Source organism: Homo sapiens, chromosome 10, assembly GCF_000001405.40.
Source record: "Homo sapiens chromosome 10, GRCh38.p14 Primary Assembly".
NCBI lineage: Eukaryota > Metazoa > Chordata > Mammalia > Primates > Hominidae > Homo > Homo sapiens.
The window spans coordinates 48,199,526-48,216,982 of NC_000010.11; the positions used below are offsets into that span (position 1 = coordinate 48,199,526).

General features: G+C 41.0%; 1 protein-coding gene across 6 annotated transcripts in view, besides 1 other annotated feature; it reads right to left on the reverse strand.

The window, feature by feature from the left end:
- Nucleotides 1-17,457, reverse strand: part of FRMPD2 (FERM and PDZ domain containing 2) — a 118,337-nt gene that overhangs the window by 42,967 nt on the left and 57,913 nt on the right. For 3 of the 6 annotated variants that reach the window (NM_001318191.1, XM_047424652.1, XM_047424654.1), the window contains 3 exon segments: nucleotides 1,703-1,859; nucleotides 7,223-7,408; nucleotides 12,429-12,581. In NM_001318191.1, the coding sequence (NP_001305120.1) occupies nucleotides 1,703-1,859; nucleotides 7,223-7,408; nucleotides 12,429-12,581 (496 nt within the window). 6 annotated transcript variants of the gene reach the window in all.
- Nucleotides 6,512-6,611: an enhancer, noted in NCBI's record as "active region_3329". NCBI's record gives its function as "activates an Ori minimal core promoter by ATAC-STARR-seq in GM12878 lymphoblastoid cells {active_cell/tissue: GM12878}" and the evidence as "EXISTENCE:reporter gene assay evidence [ECO:0000049][PMID:35858748]".

A 17,457-nucleotide genomic window follows, 5' to 3' on the forward strand; every position in this document is an offset into this window, starting at 1 on the left:
GTTAATCTTCAACTGTGCTGCATTCAGGTCACCATGCTGTCCACCTGATCTCTAGATTATGTGTATTGCAGAAACATTTTAATGTTTTTCCTTGCAAGGATTCCAATCTAAACACAAATGATAAACTCTGCCTCTTCCGTAATCTGGTCCTGCTATGAGTTTAATACCAAACTCTCAATTAAGAGTGATACAGCAGACGGCTGCAGCCGTTATGGCAAGGACCATGGTGTATCGTTACACTACTTCCTCTTCCTGGGCACACAGGAAGTCCTCCCTTTCCAACCCGTCTTGCAGTTGTCTTGGGGGCCATGTGACTGTGTTCTGTTAATGAAATGCAGATGGAAGGAATATGAGTCACTTTGGGGTCTGGCTCTTAAAACATCTTGTGCAATTTTACAGCTTTCTCTTTCCTTTCTGGAGTAATTATTCTAGATAATGGAGCTCTCCACTGAAGCAGCCGAGACCCCATGTCGCTGGAGGAGAGCTGCAAAATAGCCAGACCAAGAAGCACCTGAGAAACAAACCTTTGCTGTATTAAGCCATTGAAATTTCAAGGTTTATTTGTTACCTTTTGCCCAAAATTGCTTTATGTTTCATAAGTAAATAAAAACTAAAAGCTAAAAAATATAAATAAATAAATAAATAAATAAATAAATAAATAAATAAATAAATAAAACAGAGCCAAGCAACCATTTGCTGACTAGAGGTCACACAGGTACTCTGAGTTCCTTGAAGAACCACCCTTCTGTTTAACATTGGGACTTGCAGAGCTCACCTGAACCAACCAATCAGAGCTCACCTGCCTCCTCGAATCAGGGCTCAGCTGTATCAACTAGTCAGAACTGCACCGCATCAACCAATCTGAACTAAGCAAGTTTGAATCTTTCATTTGAATAAATGAACTTGATTGGGAACCTAGGTGGGAGTTTTATCTATAAAAGCCAAACCCTCTCTTTGTTCTCCAGAACACACCTTTGTTTTATACCAAGGTTGTGCCTTCTGGGTTTGCAGACTGTGACAGGAATAAAGTCTTTTTCCTTCGAATTCCTTTTCCAAGAACTTTTGTTCATGATAGGTCTGTGTTGCTAGTGACTCCCACACTGAACAATGCAGGTATTTCCATCATTGAAGAAAGTGTCATTGGACGGTGCTAGCTAGATACAGTCTTAGAACTTCCTTTTCCTCACTTAGCACCCTATCATGTACAGTTTCACATATCATCATTGTCCAAAAACTGATTTTACTGTCTGAATTATATAGATGCTCTTGGTTTATTTATCTGGTCTTCTATGTTTGGATACTTAGATTGCTTTCAAATGGTCACTGTCATAAATGACACCCTAGTAGACATCCATGGGCAGCAACTTTTGTGTATGTCTCTATTGATTATCTTAGGATAAATGTCTATCTACAAGTAAAATTATGGGGCCAAGAGGACGTGCACTTTTTAAGGCTTTTGATGTATATTTCCAATTGCACTCTGAAAAGATCATATCAATTTATCCTCCCAGTGTTATTTATTTTAGTGCTTGCCAACATGAGAAAATAAAACTGTATTTCATTTTTATTGTATTTCTGTCATTATTAGAGAGATTTACAACTCTATTAGAGGTCCCCAGATCAATTGTATCTATTTATACAAATTATTTTATGAAATAACAAACTTGTCAAAGTGTATATGGAGAATACAGCTTCTACTCACCAAATAAAACATGGGAAGGCTGCCCAGAGCCCATCTGTGCATTAAACCCATGCTGGGCTGAGCAGAGGTCCAGTAAGTATTTACTGGTCTTGGCTGAATCTGTGACAAATGTGTGCTTCTTCCCAGTGACACTGCTTGTGATGGTGAACTTTTTTTGCTGAAGGAAGCAAACACAGACTTTAATACACTGATCATCCACAACCCTCCACTGACGCACAACTGCAAGAAAATGCTCGGTCCCTTGGTTCCACACCCTGTAGCAGGCATCCACGGGTGCATGGCAGATGCTGTCTGACTATGGCCTGATATTTTCCTTAGCTTAAAGAAAATCCCTCTTTTTAGTTTTTCCTTCATTCATCAATCAAATTGTTTATCAAACAATAACTATTTTTCAAGGAGTGTGCTGGGTGAGAAGAATATGAAGTGGGTCAGGTATATTGACCTCAGCAAGGACGGAACCTAACCCTCAGTGTGCATTATGACAAGCCACTAAGTATTCCCATTGTTTTTATTGTACAAACTCCAAGAAGTTGTAGACAAAATCTCAACTAGTTGGGTTATGAAAAAGATAAAAACACCTGTGTGTTATAATATTTCTGGCTATAATGTAGCAGGTTCTATTCTAAGTGCTTTATGAGTATGAATTTATTTTATCTTCACAACTACAGAATAAGAGAGATTCTATCAGTATTTTTATTCTACAGATAAAAAAAAAAAGAGCAAGAGTCCTCAAAATGCCACAGGAATTGAGGTCACACCACAAAGAAACGCTTCCCCACATTATACCTTCAAGGCCCACATACAAAGTGATAATATTTGTCCAGCTCACTGGGCTAAACTGGTGAAGATGACCTATATGAGGCTACCTGTATAGAGCCTTATGAAAAAAAAGTACAAATTTTTGCAATATATTATTCTGATAAGAACAATAAAATATATAGGTGATATTAAATATTAATTCATATAAAACTTCCAAATAAAATCTTCATTCTAGATATTCTATCTATTTCAATAAGAACCTTCAGCTTGCTCCTATAAAGGTAACTTTATAGAAACAGGGCTTATGCTTGAAAGGGCTTCCGGAAACCCCTGATCCTCTTTAAGGCTTATCTCTTTTAATTCCTGATAGTCACCATTTCTAAGAAACTCCATTCACGCATGTCAGATATCAACAAAAGGCAGATAAATATTCATTGCTTTTTCTTTGAGAAACCCCTTTTTACCATTAACCTAATTTTAGATAAGTTTCTCATTCTCTGTATACTCTTTACTTTTACTGACAAGTATAGTGCTAAGCCTCCTTGTGCTAATAGGAATGGATTCTGAATCCAATTGAACTGTACTATAACTAATATTTCTTTAAATAATGTGTTGTCTCAAGCATTCATAGATGCTGCTCCGCCAGTCGTAATAATTCTTCTTTAGTACTCAACTGATCATTTCATCCACACTTTTTCAAAGTCGAATATTTGCTTGAAATCCATACACTTTGTCAGTACACACTGATAGGCTTTCATGCAATCCTGACAATTTTATATTAAGTTTATTCAGATATTAAGCATTTTTTATATGAATAAGTCACTCTTTTTTTGAGACAGGGTTTCGCTCTGTCACCCAGGCTGGAGTGCAGTGACACAATCATAGTTCACTGATACCTTGAAGTGCTGGGTTCAAGCAATCCTCGCACCTCAGCCTCCCAAGTAGTTGGGACCACAGTGAGGCACCACCATACCCAGCTAATTTTTGTATTTTTTAGAGACAGGGGTATCGCTCTGTTGCCCAGGCTGCTCTCGAACTCCTGGAGTTAAGTGATCCTCCTCAGCCTCTGAAAGTGCTGGGATTACAGGGGTGAGCCACTGTGCCTTGCAAGAATAAATCACTTTTTAAAATGTAATAACTATTTTTTAACAAATCTGAAAAGGGAGAATCATTCACACACCCACATACAAACAAACACATACATCGAAGTTTCTTTTAGCTTATAAACTCTCAGCAAAACTCTCCTTTTCAGATGCCAGTGCTCCAAGGTATCAAACACCAGAGTGGAATGCTGATCCTATTTCTTGACATAAAGGTGAAAAGAGTCTTGACTGTCAAGAGTCTTTTCCATCATTTAATGGAAAATTCTTATCTGCAAACTTTCGCATAAGCAAGCTGCTACTCTGTGTATACGATGATGTATAACTCCAGTCTCTGGGTTTTCAGCACCAGCATGAAATCCTTTCTTTACATTTCTGTGGTTGCAGCAGAAACATTAGGTTGGTGCAATTACTGCAATTAGGTGGGCGCCATTACTCTTGCACCCACCTAATTCATGGCAGGTGCTTCTGTAACATGTTGGTTTCAAAGCATCAGTTTACCATTTTGAATATTTTCATCCCTAGGAGTTCTTTTTTTTCTGTTGCTATTTGTTCACCTGCTTGATTATTTGTATTTGATACATCTTTGTATGAAATACAAATAACATTTTTCTAGGCAGGGGAGACTTGTCATGAAACTAATGAAACTGAAGCTCCAGGGCCCTAACTTCCTGGGAGGAGCCCTGGCAATGCATTCACATGGTCTTATAATACACGGAAAGTAAGATGTTTTCACCCCAGTTGGTTAAGACCACTGACTCTTTCTACTCAGACACACCCTCCTTGCCACGTCCCTTCGCACCAGGTGGTGTTGGGTGATACAGAGCAGAACCCTTTAAGAAGTTGAGATGGGGATACACTTGGTTTAGATTTAGTTGGATTTATTTAGGTGATTTGAAGGCTTTTCTAGAATAGTTACTTTATTGCTAGCCATCCCAGAATACTCCTTCCATTTGTCTAACTCACCTAAAATCTCAGCAGAAAGGTGCAGGGCCAGCAGCCAGATGAAATTGACCATGCCCTATAATACCCAGCCCCCGAAGGAAGCATGAGCTGTACAGAGCCAGTAGCTGATCTACAGGAAGTTTTTGCACTCATCAGAAATGAAAAACTATAATTTAGTTCTCAAAAATACTCATCTAATTGAAATGCTTCCCTATCAGGGATATACTCTATAATTGTGTATACCGCATTATCAACACATGACACGTTTTTTTTTATGGGAATCCCATGAAATAGAATTTGTCAGGTTTCCTGCATTTGCAGCAAATAACTCTGTTGCAGCACTAGAAAGAGCAAAAATGTTTCTGTGCAAAGCTGCGTGTTTCATGCATCCTATTAATCCTTTCAATAATAAAAACAGATTTCAATCCACCATGCTAGAAGAAAAACTAAACTATATTTCTATCCTCTCTAGAGAAAATGATATTACAAAAGCGCCATCATACAGAAAAATAATCAGGGTACGCCATTAAAAATTTGAAAGGAAAAAAGTATTATAGGCATTGTCAGGAAGTTAATAAAAATATTACTTGCTGGCTTTTTTGATATCTGCAGGATTTGTTCAGCTTTTAAAAATTCATAAAGTTTTTGTGATTTCTTTTCTCATTCTGAATAAATATTTCTTTCATGCCATCTTTTGTAACTTTGTATTCTTTTTCATAAAGAGGGCCCTAAATAGCGTGTGTCTGCTTCTGTTTCCATGCATTTCTCTTCAGAGATTTAACTAGTGCTGATAACTATGGACAGTTACTAGCATGCATAGGTTTATTGTTCTAGAAGGAACAGGTTTTTGATTGAACAATCAAACCACACATGGACGCCAACACATCTACGAATCATATTCTTTGGAAATGTCATCTTTCTCTATTTCCTTTGCTGCTTTGGTGCAGGCTGGCAAGATGAACGATCTGTAATTGTTTGAAGACTTTTGGCCTCAGGTATTAAAAAGCAAAATTGAAACCAGTTTCCTGAGTTAATTTTCATATTGTTCACTGAATTCCCTATTTTGTGCTTACAGAAGCATAAAGAGTTCAAGTCATTTTCTGCGTAAGATGCTTGGTTTGCAGCAAACTGCTGGTGACATTACTTCATCTGACGACTGTTCCTTAAAAATAAGTTATTCATGCCAAGGAAGAGGATGATCATCAGAGAATGGAAACCCTGATTAAGTATTTTTTGAGCTACTAAGTTTGTCTTCAGAGCCTGATGACTTCCCAGTTTTAATCAAGAAATTAATCAACTAATTTAATCAAGAAATCCCCTGGTGGGGGGAAATAAATACCTGTAAAAGTTAAACCAATGTATACATAAAGTACTTACTTAAGGGGACTGTCGAGCTTTACAGCTTCAAAAAAATCCATTTTAAAAAATTACTTTTTAGGTTACCTGCATTTTTATGAATATTTTGAAATAGTGCATTGAAAAATCTGAACAATTAAACATGCAATAAGAAAATAAGTAATGTAGTAGTATTAAATTCATTAAACAAAGTTCTTCATATAAACTTTCAGTTTAGTTAATGTAATTTGAGTAATTAAAATTCTGAAAAATTCACAAATATGAATATTGTTTCATCTGAGTTTGGTCAAAATAATTTGAAAAAAAGTCAATTTCCTGATAATATACAGACCACTTGAATAAACTCAATTAAATTGTGCTCAATTATTATTTATTTTTAGATGTAAGCTTTTTTCCTGAAAACAAACAATAATTTATTATGAAATTTTATCTTGACAATGTGTTAACTTCAAAGCCAAGATGGAAGAAATAAAAGAAACATCCTGAAAATGAATGAAAGCAATTATGTTCTACTCAGGAAACTCTAACATCAGATAATGATACAAATAGTGATGTAATTAGAAAATGTTTTTAACCATTGAGAAAATTAAATAGGAAAAAAACATTTTTTCAGGGGCCGCAAGATAAAGAACTTCATATTTTATAATAAATCGTCACTGAAGTGACACAGGTACTGACTAAAACAACCACAGGACAGGCAGAGGCTGTCAGCCACCAGGGTACAGTGCCAGAGTGACTCACTTCAGGAGGCAGAAATATGCATGCAAATAGTGTTCAAGTAGATTCCAAATGTTGTATACTTAATGGGGATTTTCTATTCAAAAATAGACTTTGAAACTTTTAAGAGCTACCAAAAATTTGCAATCCTCAGTGTCCCGTAGCACACCTGTAGTCCTCAGAGACAGACCAGAGGCCTTGGCACACTGCGTGCAAAGGGAAAATTAAAACACGGGAAGAAGTTTCAAAACCTTTCAGGCTCCACTCAACCTAAACTACACTCTCAACCCCCATCTCCCACCTCCAACTTTGCTCTCAACGTTAATGGAGTCTCCAAATTAAGAAAACTTTACCCAGAAGGAAAGTGTAGCCCTTTAGACCAATGGCTGTTCATGGGGATATGTGGAGGTCCAGGCAAGGAATGTTAGGGAAGAAATGGCCTCCTGAGGACCTCCCAAAATCCCTTGGCAGACTTCTTCCAAATATCCTGCAATGCATCAGAATGCAGGTTAACAAACAGACAGGCTGTGAGAATGTTTGGTCAGGAGAAAGCCACATGACCCATGACCCACTGCTCCTTTAAACGGCCAACAAATCAAAGGAAAATGAAGTGCAGGTTATTTATCAACTGAGCTACACTCACATAAGTAGAAATCTTCCCGGTTTCTCTCCACTGAAACCGTAACATTGCAATTCTGCTGTTGTTTTTCACTTCATAGACTATGACACCCTTGGCACAGATCCCCAGGGCCATCTCCTCTTCTGGCCTCCTCTTCTCTGAGAATACTTGGTGAACCAGCACACCGTATTCTGGGAGCTGCTGAGTGACCTGGAGCAGAAAAAGGCTGATTTAGAAGAGACAGGCACATGGTTTAAAATAATGGGCCTCACGCCATTCACTCCATGCAAAACACACTGATAGGCGTTCTGAAAAGAAAGAGTAGAATTGTCATGTAAGTTTAGGAAACACTGGGTCAAACAGATTTATTTGCTATGTACAAAATTTCTCTGCACCTCTGATATGATAGAATTTTCCTTTTTTTTTTTTTTTGTAACCCAAGGAATACTTTTCTCATGGAATACCTAAAACAGTACTTAGAATACAGTTATTATGAAAATAACACAGTACAATAATAATATTCTGAACAAGTTTTTTAGAATTCATACTCTTCTGGGACATCTCAAGGTAAGAGATTTCTTTTCCTTGTTGTGTCAGAGTCTATAGTATTCTCTGTTCCAATCCCTTTACGTGACAGATAGAAAAACTGAGGCTAAGGCACAGAAAGTGACCTTCCAGATCACCAATGTTAGTTGTGAACCACCCTGCAGAGAAAATGACCATTCATTTTGGTGCTCCTCACCATGTAGCAATGCCTTCGTGGGGGTCCCCGTAGCCCAGGGTCTTGCCTCTGTTTACCAGGTTAGGGGAATAAATTTTGCCAGGGGCCATGGGTCAGTTGGAGCTGGGGACTGCGTTAGGCCACCAACTTCTTAAGAGACCAAAGTATAAAATGAACACAAATGTTTCTACATCTGAATGGCAGTAACTTTCCCACCTTCATCTTCACCAGGAAGACGCCAGTCCCCATCAGAAGGTTGATGTGTCTCTGGGACCCACAGCAAGGACCTCTTGCTCCAGGCATTTGAAGCCCTCTCAGAAGGGTTGTATTGCTGAAATCTGGTATCCCATTCCTACCCCCAACCAGAGAGCATAATGTCCTATCCAATCTCTCTCACCCCCAGGCAAGGTCACAAAAACAGGGACAAATTATGGCTTTTGAGAGCTCCTCTCTCAGGCTCCTTTCCCATTCACCGTTGATGAAGTCCATGCAGACAGCTATGCTGCCTGCAGACTCCACAGCTCTTCACACAGGGTTCAGATTACATTTCTGAACCCTAAGCCTCCTTCGTTTAACTTTGGAGAGACCCTGTCATCATCGTCATCATCATCATTATCATCATCATCATCATCAATATCCTTATCATCATACAAATCAATATTTATTGAGCGCTGGTGCTGAAATATCCAGTGGCCAGCCTGGGCATGTGATTAAAGTTTAAAAAGCAGGGCCACCACAAGATAATAGGCAGACGCTTTTAAAGAATTTGGTGTGATATTTCTTTTAAAAATTAAGCATTAATAAGTAGTCATTAAAAGTCATTAATAAAAGTCATGCCTTTGCTAGACTTAAACTTCTTCAGTTGTTTAGTATTAGTTTATATTTTAATTTATTGTTTACCTATACAAAGAGAGATACGATGCTTTTCAGTTCTCTGGGCCTCAAGATTCCTACTAGTAAAGCACCATGCTAAGCCTCTCCCAGCATGATTTCATTATTATTTAATCTTCAGAACAATCACAGAGATAGTGAAGCTATCCTTTTTCTAAGTAATCTGTCCAAGTTCCTGCTTTGGAGCCAGGAATGGAAATATGGAAAGATGAGCCTGTTTGCTCCTGAGTCTTCACTCTTAACAACTGAAATACAGGGAATCCAAAAGGCCTGGAAACATAGGTGAATACACTTAATGTTGTCAATGACATCTTCAATCTGTAAAACAATAAAATAATGATGTCTACCTCCATTTGCTGTCTGCTAGGGAGTCTCCTAGGATGCTTCTCCTGGCCCCCTTTGCATTGCTATTGCTGGGTGTCCTTTCAGAGGGTCATTTCCTCTCCATGTGCTTTGGGCCATCTTACTACAAGGCCTGTCTTCCTTACAACAGGTAGCAAAGTTGAGATGGGACCAAGCACTCCTGGCTGCCAGCCACACATCCCTTGCTGCATTGAACATTCTTCAAAACAAATGGATTGTTATTTCTGAATATTCATCAAGGGGTTCAGAATTCATCTTCTCTGACCTTATAACTCCACCTGTGGGTATCTACCCTAAGAAAATATGCTGAATAATCAGGACAACCCCTTCTCATAATGCTGTTCAGTACAGATTTGTGGGGTGATTTGGGGAAACCAGCTCCTGGCAGTAAACGATTTCCTAAAAACAGTACTGTCTTAAAATTGATTATCAGGCAGCCTTTACAAAGGATATTTGTAAAGCATTTGTAATTATCAGGAGAGTGCATTTGTTATAATGCTAAGTGGAAGAAACTACAGGATACAATCATTATGATTTCAATAGCAAGAAAAAAATCTTTTAATAATATATTAACAACCCACAGCTATGTGGGAAAATGGCTCCATGGTTGAGGAAGTTAGGAAAACACTGAATTCACCTTAAACAGGTTATTCTGAGATTAATAAGCTAATATAGTTGTGAATCTACAGACAGACTATGGTATTCAGCGCTTCCCAAACTGGACTTTTGCCCAGTCTGTGGCTAGTACAAGGTGCTGAACTTTCAGAGTTAGTCATCAGTGAACTGGGGACCAAGAGCTAGCCTCCCAATAATGGTCTTCTCCTTTTTCTAATGAAAAACAAGAGCCATGAGGAGCTATAATTAAATAATCCAGTGATTGCTTGTAGAATAGTAACTGGGCTCTGTGATGGGCACTGAGGATCCACGGCCTTCCAGGCATTTATAGCCCAGTAGAAGAGATGGAAAATGTCCAGAAATGACGGCTGCACGAGGTGTCTTAGCAATATATATCAACAACGTTCAAAATGTTTATTACCTTCCACCCTGTAATTCCACTTATGAGATTCTATCCCTAAGGAATGAAGCAGAAATACAGCTAAGATTTATATGGAAAAGATGCTAACCTCAGTATTGTTTTAAATAGTCCCATATTGGAAACCATTTATATGTTAAACAATAGAGCATTGAGAGAAAAAATTAGAGTACAATATATGTTAATTCAAAAGAAGTTTTCAAATGTTTAGATCTATGGGATTATATACATACATAAAAGTGCATGTATAATATAAAGCTAATTTTAAATATATATGCATATACATATATATATGAATGCACAGAACAAAGAGAGAAGGATGAATATACCTAAATGTAACTGTGCTATCTCCAGGCGGCAGAATTATGAGGAAATGTTTACTTTTATAATCAGGGAGGGGGAGAAAACCTTTAACAAACCCTCATCCTAATGAGAGGCTCCCAATGTGCTCTGGGGATGATGACAAAGCCCTGTCTAGTTTATCTCTCTGTACCACAGGCAGGCAACACCAGCATTAACAACCCCAACCAGTTTACCAAGGGAAACTGCAAAAGCAAGAGTGCTCCTTGAAACCGATAAAGATTACATGTAAATGGAATCAAATCTATTCAGTGCTTTCTGTGAATGGGGAAAAAAATGGTTTTCTGTATTTTTGCTTCTCAGCCTGGTAGTTTCTTTTACAATCATTTTTCATCGTTCAACCAGGAAGCGAGGGACCCTGACAGTGAGATCAGCACTCAAAGTCAGGGTCTGGGCAGAGGCCAGAAGGTAGCGTCCATCCTGCAGACATCTGCCGCAGGGTTGGGTCCTTGGCCTCTAGATTGGGTTCTGCAGTTCTGTGGCTCTGTGACCACTCATTATCAGATGGCTTTGAAGTCCCCACTGGTCCCTCATCAAGGGAATGCTTCGTCCCCTTGACAGGGAACACGTGTGCAGCCCGGACTATGGAGTGCCCTGATCATGCTTCGCCAGTGCTTCTCAAATGAAACGCTTGCAGGCTACACCATGTTAGATACAGGGATAGTTCTGCAAAATGACCAGCTGAAAAGCAAAGGCCCAACCTCATGTTGGCTGTTCTGTTTTCAAGTACCCATCTCAATTAAGGGCAAGAAAACACAGATGGAATATTTCTACCTGACTTCTGTACAGGGAAATACACAAATCTCCTAACTTCCTTTTAAAACTGCTCCCCCAATCAAATGGCCCAGCTTGTATCCCATCCTGGGGAAGCTGCGAGTGTCCTCGCACTTATCCCCCAGCTGTATCTGCACAGGCAGAGTAGCCACTCTCTCCCTGGTCCCCACATCTTGACATAGAGTAGCTGGTATTGTTCTTGTTCCATTGAGTGTTTATTGAGTTGTGTGCCTGTGGGTAGACCGCAGTCCTCCCCACAAGACATGGGGCTTCCTGGGGACAAAGAGCATGTGCTTTTTGTCTCCATTTTCCAGTGCCTGGCCCACAGCAAGGGGAGATTGTGGAGTAGCAAAGACTATTCATCATTGTGTGTGCCCACACGGGGAGACTGCAGTGCCACTGTTTTTGCCCCGCTGGTGAAGAGACGGTGGGCCCAAGCTGCACTCCTGTGCACAGGCCACAGCAGCTGTGCTATGTTGAGGACTGCTGCCTGCAGGGCTGCAAACTTAGGGTCTTGTGATGGCTTTTCTCTGGCTCAAGCGCTGATCTTGTACTTCTGTTGTCCTATGTGTCAACTATAAGAAATGTGGTCTCCCTGCTTGGAGGAAAGTGTCTGGAATGCTGATCTAAGATTTGTCCGGGCACAGTGGCTCCCACCTGTAGTCCCAGCACTTTGGGAGGCCAAGGCAGGTGGATCACCTAAGGTCAGGAGTTTGAGACCAGCCTGGCCAACATGGGAAAACCCTGTCTCTACTAAAATACAAAAATTAGCTGGGTATGGTGGCAGGCGCCTGTAATCCCAGAGCGAGACTCCATCTCAAAAAAATAAATAAATAAAATAAAAAATAAGGAAAAGCCCTACCACACCCACCCCAGCTCACTAAATCCTACCCTCTTTGGGGTCATTTCCAATGCCAGCTGCTTCCAGAAGCCTCTCCTTGCCCCTCCCTGCCTCCTAGAGTTCCACCCTTGCTCATGCCTCCTTGTGGGTCTGCACACACCTGGGCCCCTTGAGAAGGCTCTGGAGGGGATTGCTGGCTGCATTCCCTTGAAGACCAACACCTCTCTCCAGGTCAGGAAGGCCTTACCCTCAAGAACTTCAGCTCAGCATCCTCTCCCCACAGTGCAGAGCTGAGCCGGTGCATCTCTGAGACTTCAACCTGGACCCGTAGAGCGGTCATCCTCTCGATCAGACTCGCTGGGATGTAATCTTCAACGTGAAAGTATGGCTTACTCTCCACCTGCTGGAAGTAAGATGTAGAAGGGAAGGGCACAATCCAGACACTGGCCGGGGGACTCTGAGAGGAATGAAAACATTATCTGTAGTCACAATTCCAGGAGGGCGCCAGAGAAAGACACTTCCTCGAGGTGCCCACCTGGGATATTATTTTCTACTATATTAAAAACGGGGCCAAACCCTAGGACATGAACAGAAAAGAGAGAGTAAAGGAGCTGTTTTTGAGCCCCTTTTTATGCCAGGTAGTTCACAGAACACATAAGGCTTTTCTGATTCTCACAGGAATACTCTGAAGATGGCATTGTCATTGCCATTGACAAGACAAGCAAGGAGAGAGGTCACTCAACAGGGCGAAGATCACACCACTTGGAAGTGACAGAAACAAGATGTGTTCACCTCAAACCCTCACACTTTCCACGATGCCACACCTTACCAAAAGGCATAGCAAAACCCTGGCCCTAAAACTCTATGTTGTTTTTTTTTTAATTCATTTAGCATTTCTGTCTACATGCACTCCCAGAACATTGTCTCTTCTCACCAAGGAGGTCTTAGCTTTGGCATCATTGCTGCACATGAAGGTGTTCAAGGAGTAGCCCCCTGGAAAAGGGGAGACTGGATACCCCCAGCCCACCTTCATCAAGTCTGTTCTTTGGGAGACTGAGGCTGCATCCCCCCAGGAGAGGGTGGCAGGTGGAATCACTCACTGCTTGATGGTGAGTTCCCTGAACACAGACTCTGGGGCAGGTAAAAGTCTGCAGAAGTCCATGCAGGAGTGATCTTGAGGTCCACTATACAGAATGAGGAATGCAGGATCAGGCAGAGGGAGAAGCTGACCCTGCCTTTGTATTCCCAGATCAACATGTCCTGGTCTCAGGAAGCCTTTCCCAGCCTAACCCTGGGCAAGCCATTTCCCTCCAGTTGAGGGCAGTTACTCATGAGGAAGGCAAGTGGGAGCTGGGAGAATCTGGCCTCACTGGGGCTGGGGGTGAATGAGTTGGCCTGAGTGGGGTATCTGAAGAGAAGAGCACAGTGTCCACTACCTCCCACACTCCTGATGTAGCATGTCCCCATGTGGCCATGGACCAAGAATCCTCAGGTTGGTGCTGGCCCATGCTGGTTTTGAGCTCAGCTCCACCACAAACAGAGAGATATTGTTCAGCAGGCTAGTGCATAAAAAAGCATTTAGAATGCTCTTAGCATGGCCAAATTCCAGAACACTGGCAACACCATGCTGGTGAGGATGTGGAACAACAGGAACTCTCAGTCGTTGCTGGTGGGATTGCAAAATGGTACAGCCATTTTAGAATACAGTTTGGTTGTTTTTCATAAAACTAAACATATGCTTACCATATGATTGAGCAATTTGCTCCTTGGTAATTACCAAAAGGAGTTGAGAACTTATGTCCACACAAAAACCTGCACACAGATGTTTATAACAGCCTTATTCATAATTGCCAAAACTTGGAAGCAAATGATGTCCCTCAGTGGGTGAATGGATAAATAAACTGTTACATCCAGACAATGAAATATTGTCCAGTGCTAAAAAAAAAATGAGCTGTCAAGCCTTGAAAAGACATGGAAGAGTCTGAAATGCATATTACTAGGTGAAAGAAGTAGGTCTGTAAAGGCTACTTACTGTATGATCATAACTATATGATATTCTGGAAAATGCAAAACTATGGAAGTATAAAAAGATCAGGAGTTTGGAGGCAGGGAGAAATAAATAAGTGGAGCACAGAGGATTTTTAGGGCCATGAAATTACTCTGTAAGATACTTGAAAGTTGGTTATACAAATTGAGTAATTCTTGTCATATCCAACTAAATCAGAGACCGGGAGCCAGGAAGAAAATGAACTCGGGGCACATAGCACCTGCTCCAAGAATTAAATTTTTCCATAAGCCCAACTACTGAAAGGACTTGCTGTAACCCTAAGACCAGTTTTACCTAGTAGCTGCCGAAAAGATCTGCTGGGACTCTAAGACTTGTTTTACCTCCCACTGTCACTTACCAATCAGTTTTCAGTTCCCAAAAGCTTCTCAAGTGCTGATGAGTTTTCTTTCAAAACTATAACATTTTTATTCCTAATAAAAATCCCAACGTTCTCTCTGTTCGTGAGACACACCAAAGACCACCCAGTCTGTGAGTATACCCCAAACTGCAATTCTTGCTTCCCAAATAAATTGTTTTAAATTTAGAGATTCATCTCCATATTCTATTTGACTTCAACAATAGCATAATGGTAGATACATGTCTTTATACATTTGTCAAAACCCATAGAATGTACAACATCAAGAGTAAACCTCAGTGTAAACTATGAGCTCTCAGTGGTAATGGTGTGTCAATGTAGGTTCATTGATTGTAACAAATGTACATTCTGGTGCAGGATTTTTATGGTGTCTGTAGGAGAAGGCTGTGCATGTAGAGGGGCAAGGGATATATGAAAAATCCCTGTATTTTCAATTCAAATTTACTGTGAATCTAAAAATTCTCCAAACATTAAAGTCTATTAAAACTTTTTTTAAGTGTTTAGGATCTTTGATCCAGGATCCTTCTGGTAGGAATATATCCAAGAGAAAAGTCCATATGGGACTGAAAAAGCTCTGCGGTCAAGTACACTTATTTTTATGGCATTTATAAAACAGAAAAATCAGACGCAATTTAAATGATAATAATAGTAGTTATCACTTACATGGTGCTACTGGGTGAATACCCCACAATACAAGAATGAAGAAGTGAAGGAAGACTGGGAAGGCATGGCAGGCTGCCAATCCAGAGGATCACTAGGAAGGCCACCGGAGGACATGTACCATTGAGTGAGAAAGAATGCAAATTGAATGTGGTGAAGTTCACAACTGTGTAAAAACCCCCGCATGTGATCAAGGCAGGGAGAGAATGCACCCAGAGGAAAGTTATTCTGCTGTGATGATGTGATTAAGGAGATTTATTTTTATACTAAATTGTCTTTGTCTCCCTTTTTAAAATGCAAATGTAATCATGTTGCTTCCCTGTTTAAAATTCTTCAGGGGCTCCCAATCTTTCACAACAGTGGTTTCCAAATTATTTTTTTTCAGCACCAGAACCATTTATCAAACAAAACATAAGCCCCTTAGGAGGCCACACTAAGTCTTCCCAGATATAACAGGTGGCCCCCACCCAGCTTCACAGCCACCGAGGCTCAGGCAGCGGACAGGCCAGACTTCTCCTCTTGCCCATTCAGTGACACAGAGAGGGGCTCTCCTCTCTGAGGCCTCACTCAATGACCTTTGAAGTGTCCATTGCAGCACCTGGCATATAGCAAAGCAATGTGAAGTGAGCCCTGGTTGCGCTCTTTCTAGCTTACCTAACCTCACAGAGTCACAACTTTCTCAATGGCAAATGTAAATAGCACCGGCTTTTCCGGGTTGATTTAAGAATTCAATGGTGCCAAGCCCAGAGCAGGCCTCCCATAAATTAAGACTAAGTGGTTGTATAAATGAATGGGTTTGTGTAAACCTGTTGGCCTTTACATACGTGAGAAAGGAAAAAGGTCTGCCTTTGGGGGCCACATGGGGGCAGCAGAGAGCACCTCAGAAATGTCCTCAGGGCACTAGACAGGTTAAGGCTTGGCAGGATCTGGGGATGGGGAAGCAGAAGGAGAATGAGATGACACTAAGCCAGAAGCAGGGTGAGATCAGTCAGAAACTGGACGGGCACAGGAAAGCACCATAATGGAGTGTTGGTGCTGGTCCATTTTATGTGTCAACTTGACTGGGCCATGGGGTGCCCAGATATTTGGTCAAATATTCTGGGTGTGACTGTGAGGGTGTTTTTGGACATGACTGACAGTTAAATCCATAGACTGAGTAAAGCAGATGGCCCTCCCTAAAGTGAATGTACCTCATTCAATCTGTTGAAGGACTGAATTAAACAAAAAGACTGACCCTCCTGTAGAGAAGCAGCTCCTCTCTGCCTGACTCTCTTCATGCCAGTTCTTCTCTTGCCTTTGGATTCAGGCTTGGACTGGAACTGCACCATTGGCCCTCCCGGGTTTACAGCCTGCTAACTACACAGCTTGAGGCTTCTCAGCCTACATAACCACATGAGCCAATGCCTTCTAATACATCTCTAGATAGACAGACAGAAAGACATATAGATGACAGATAGATAATAGACAGATACATAGGCAGATGATAGATACATAGATGATGGATAGATAGATAGATAGATAGATAGATAGATAGATAGATGATAAATAGATGGATATCTTATCAGTTCTGTTTCTCTAGAGAACCTAGACTATTATAGGCTCATAGAGACAGGTCTGGGCCCCTGGAACCCTGGGGCAAGAGACTCTGCTGGACTGACTCCAGGTCTGAGTAAGAGACTATTACTCAAACTCCCACCTGCCTCCAGTGGATCTGGCCTGCTGTCCCCAACAACTCTAAGTGCTAGAGTTAAACTCAGGTTTGACATCCTGTATCTGAATCTACAGACTGAAGGTTAGCAGTTGTGTCATTTTATATCAGAGCACTATAATGCTGGAGGAGGTAGAAGGAAAGCTTGCAAGCAGCAGTTGTCACATGCTAGATACCACACATGAATTGCCATCTTTCACCCTTACAGCAGTTTTGCAAGAGATTGATGATTATTTTCCATTTTGCAGATGAAAAAGCCAAGGCTCAGAGAGAAAACATGCCAAGGCCATATAGCTACTGAACCAGAGGCCACAGCAAGAATGTCAACTGATTCACTGGGACACTCCTGGCTTAGAGCACCCTCCTCCCAGGACTTCCCAATGTAGCACCACCCGAAGCTGGCCTAGGCATGAAAAGGGCCCCAGGCCTGGGTACTGAGGGCAGGAAGGAGTTCAAGGGTAAGCAGTGACAGGGATTGTCAAAAG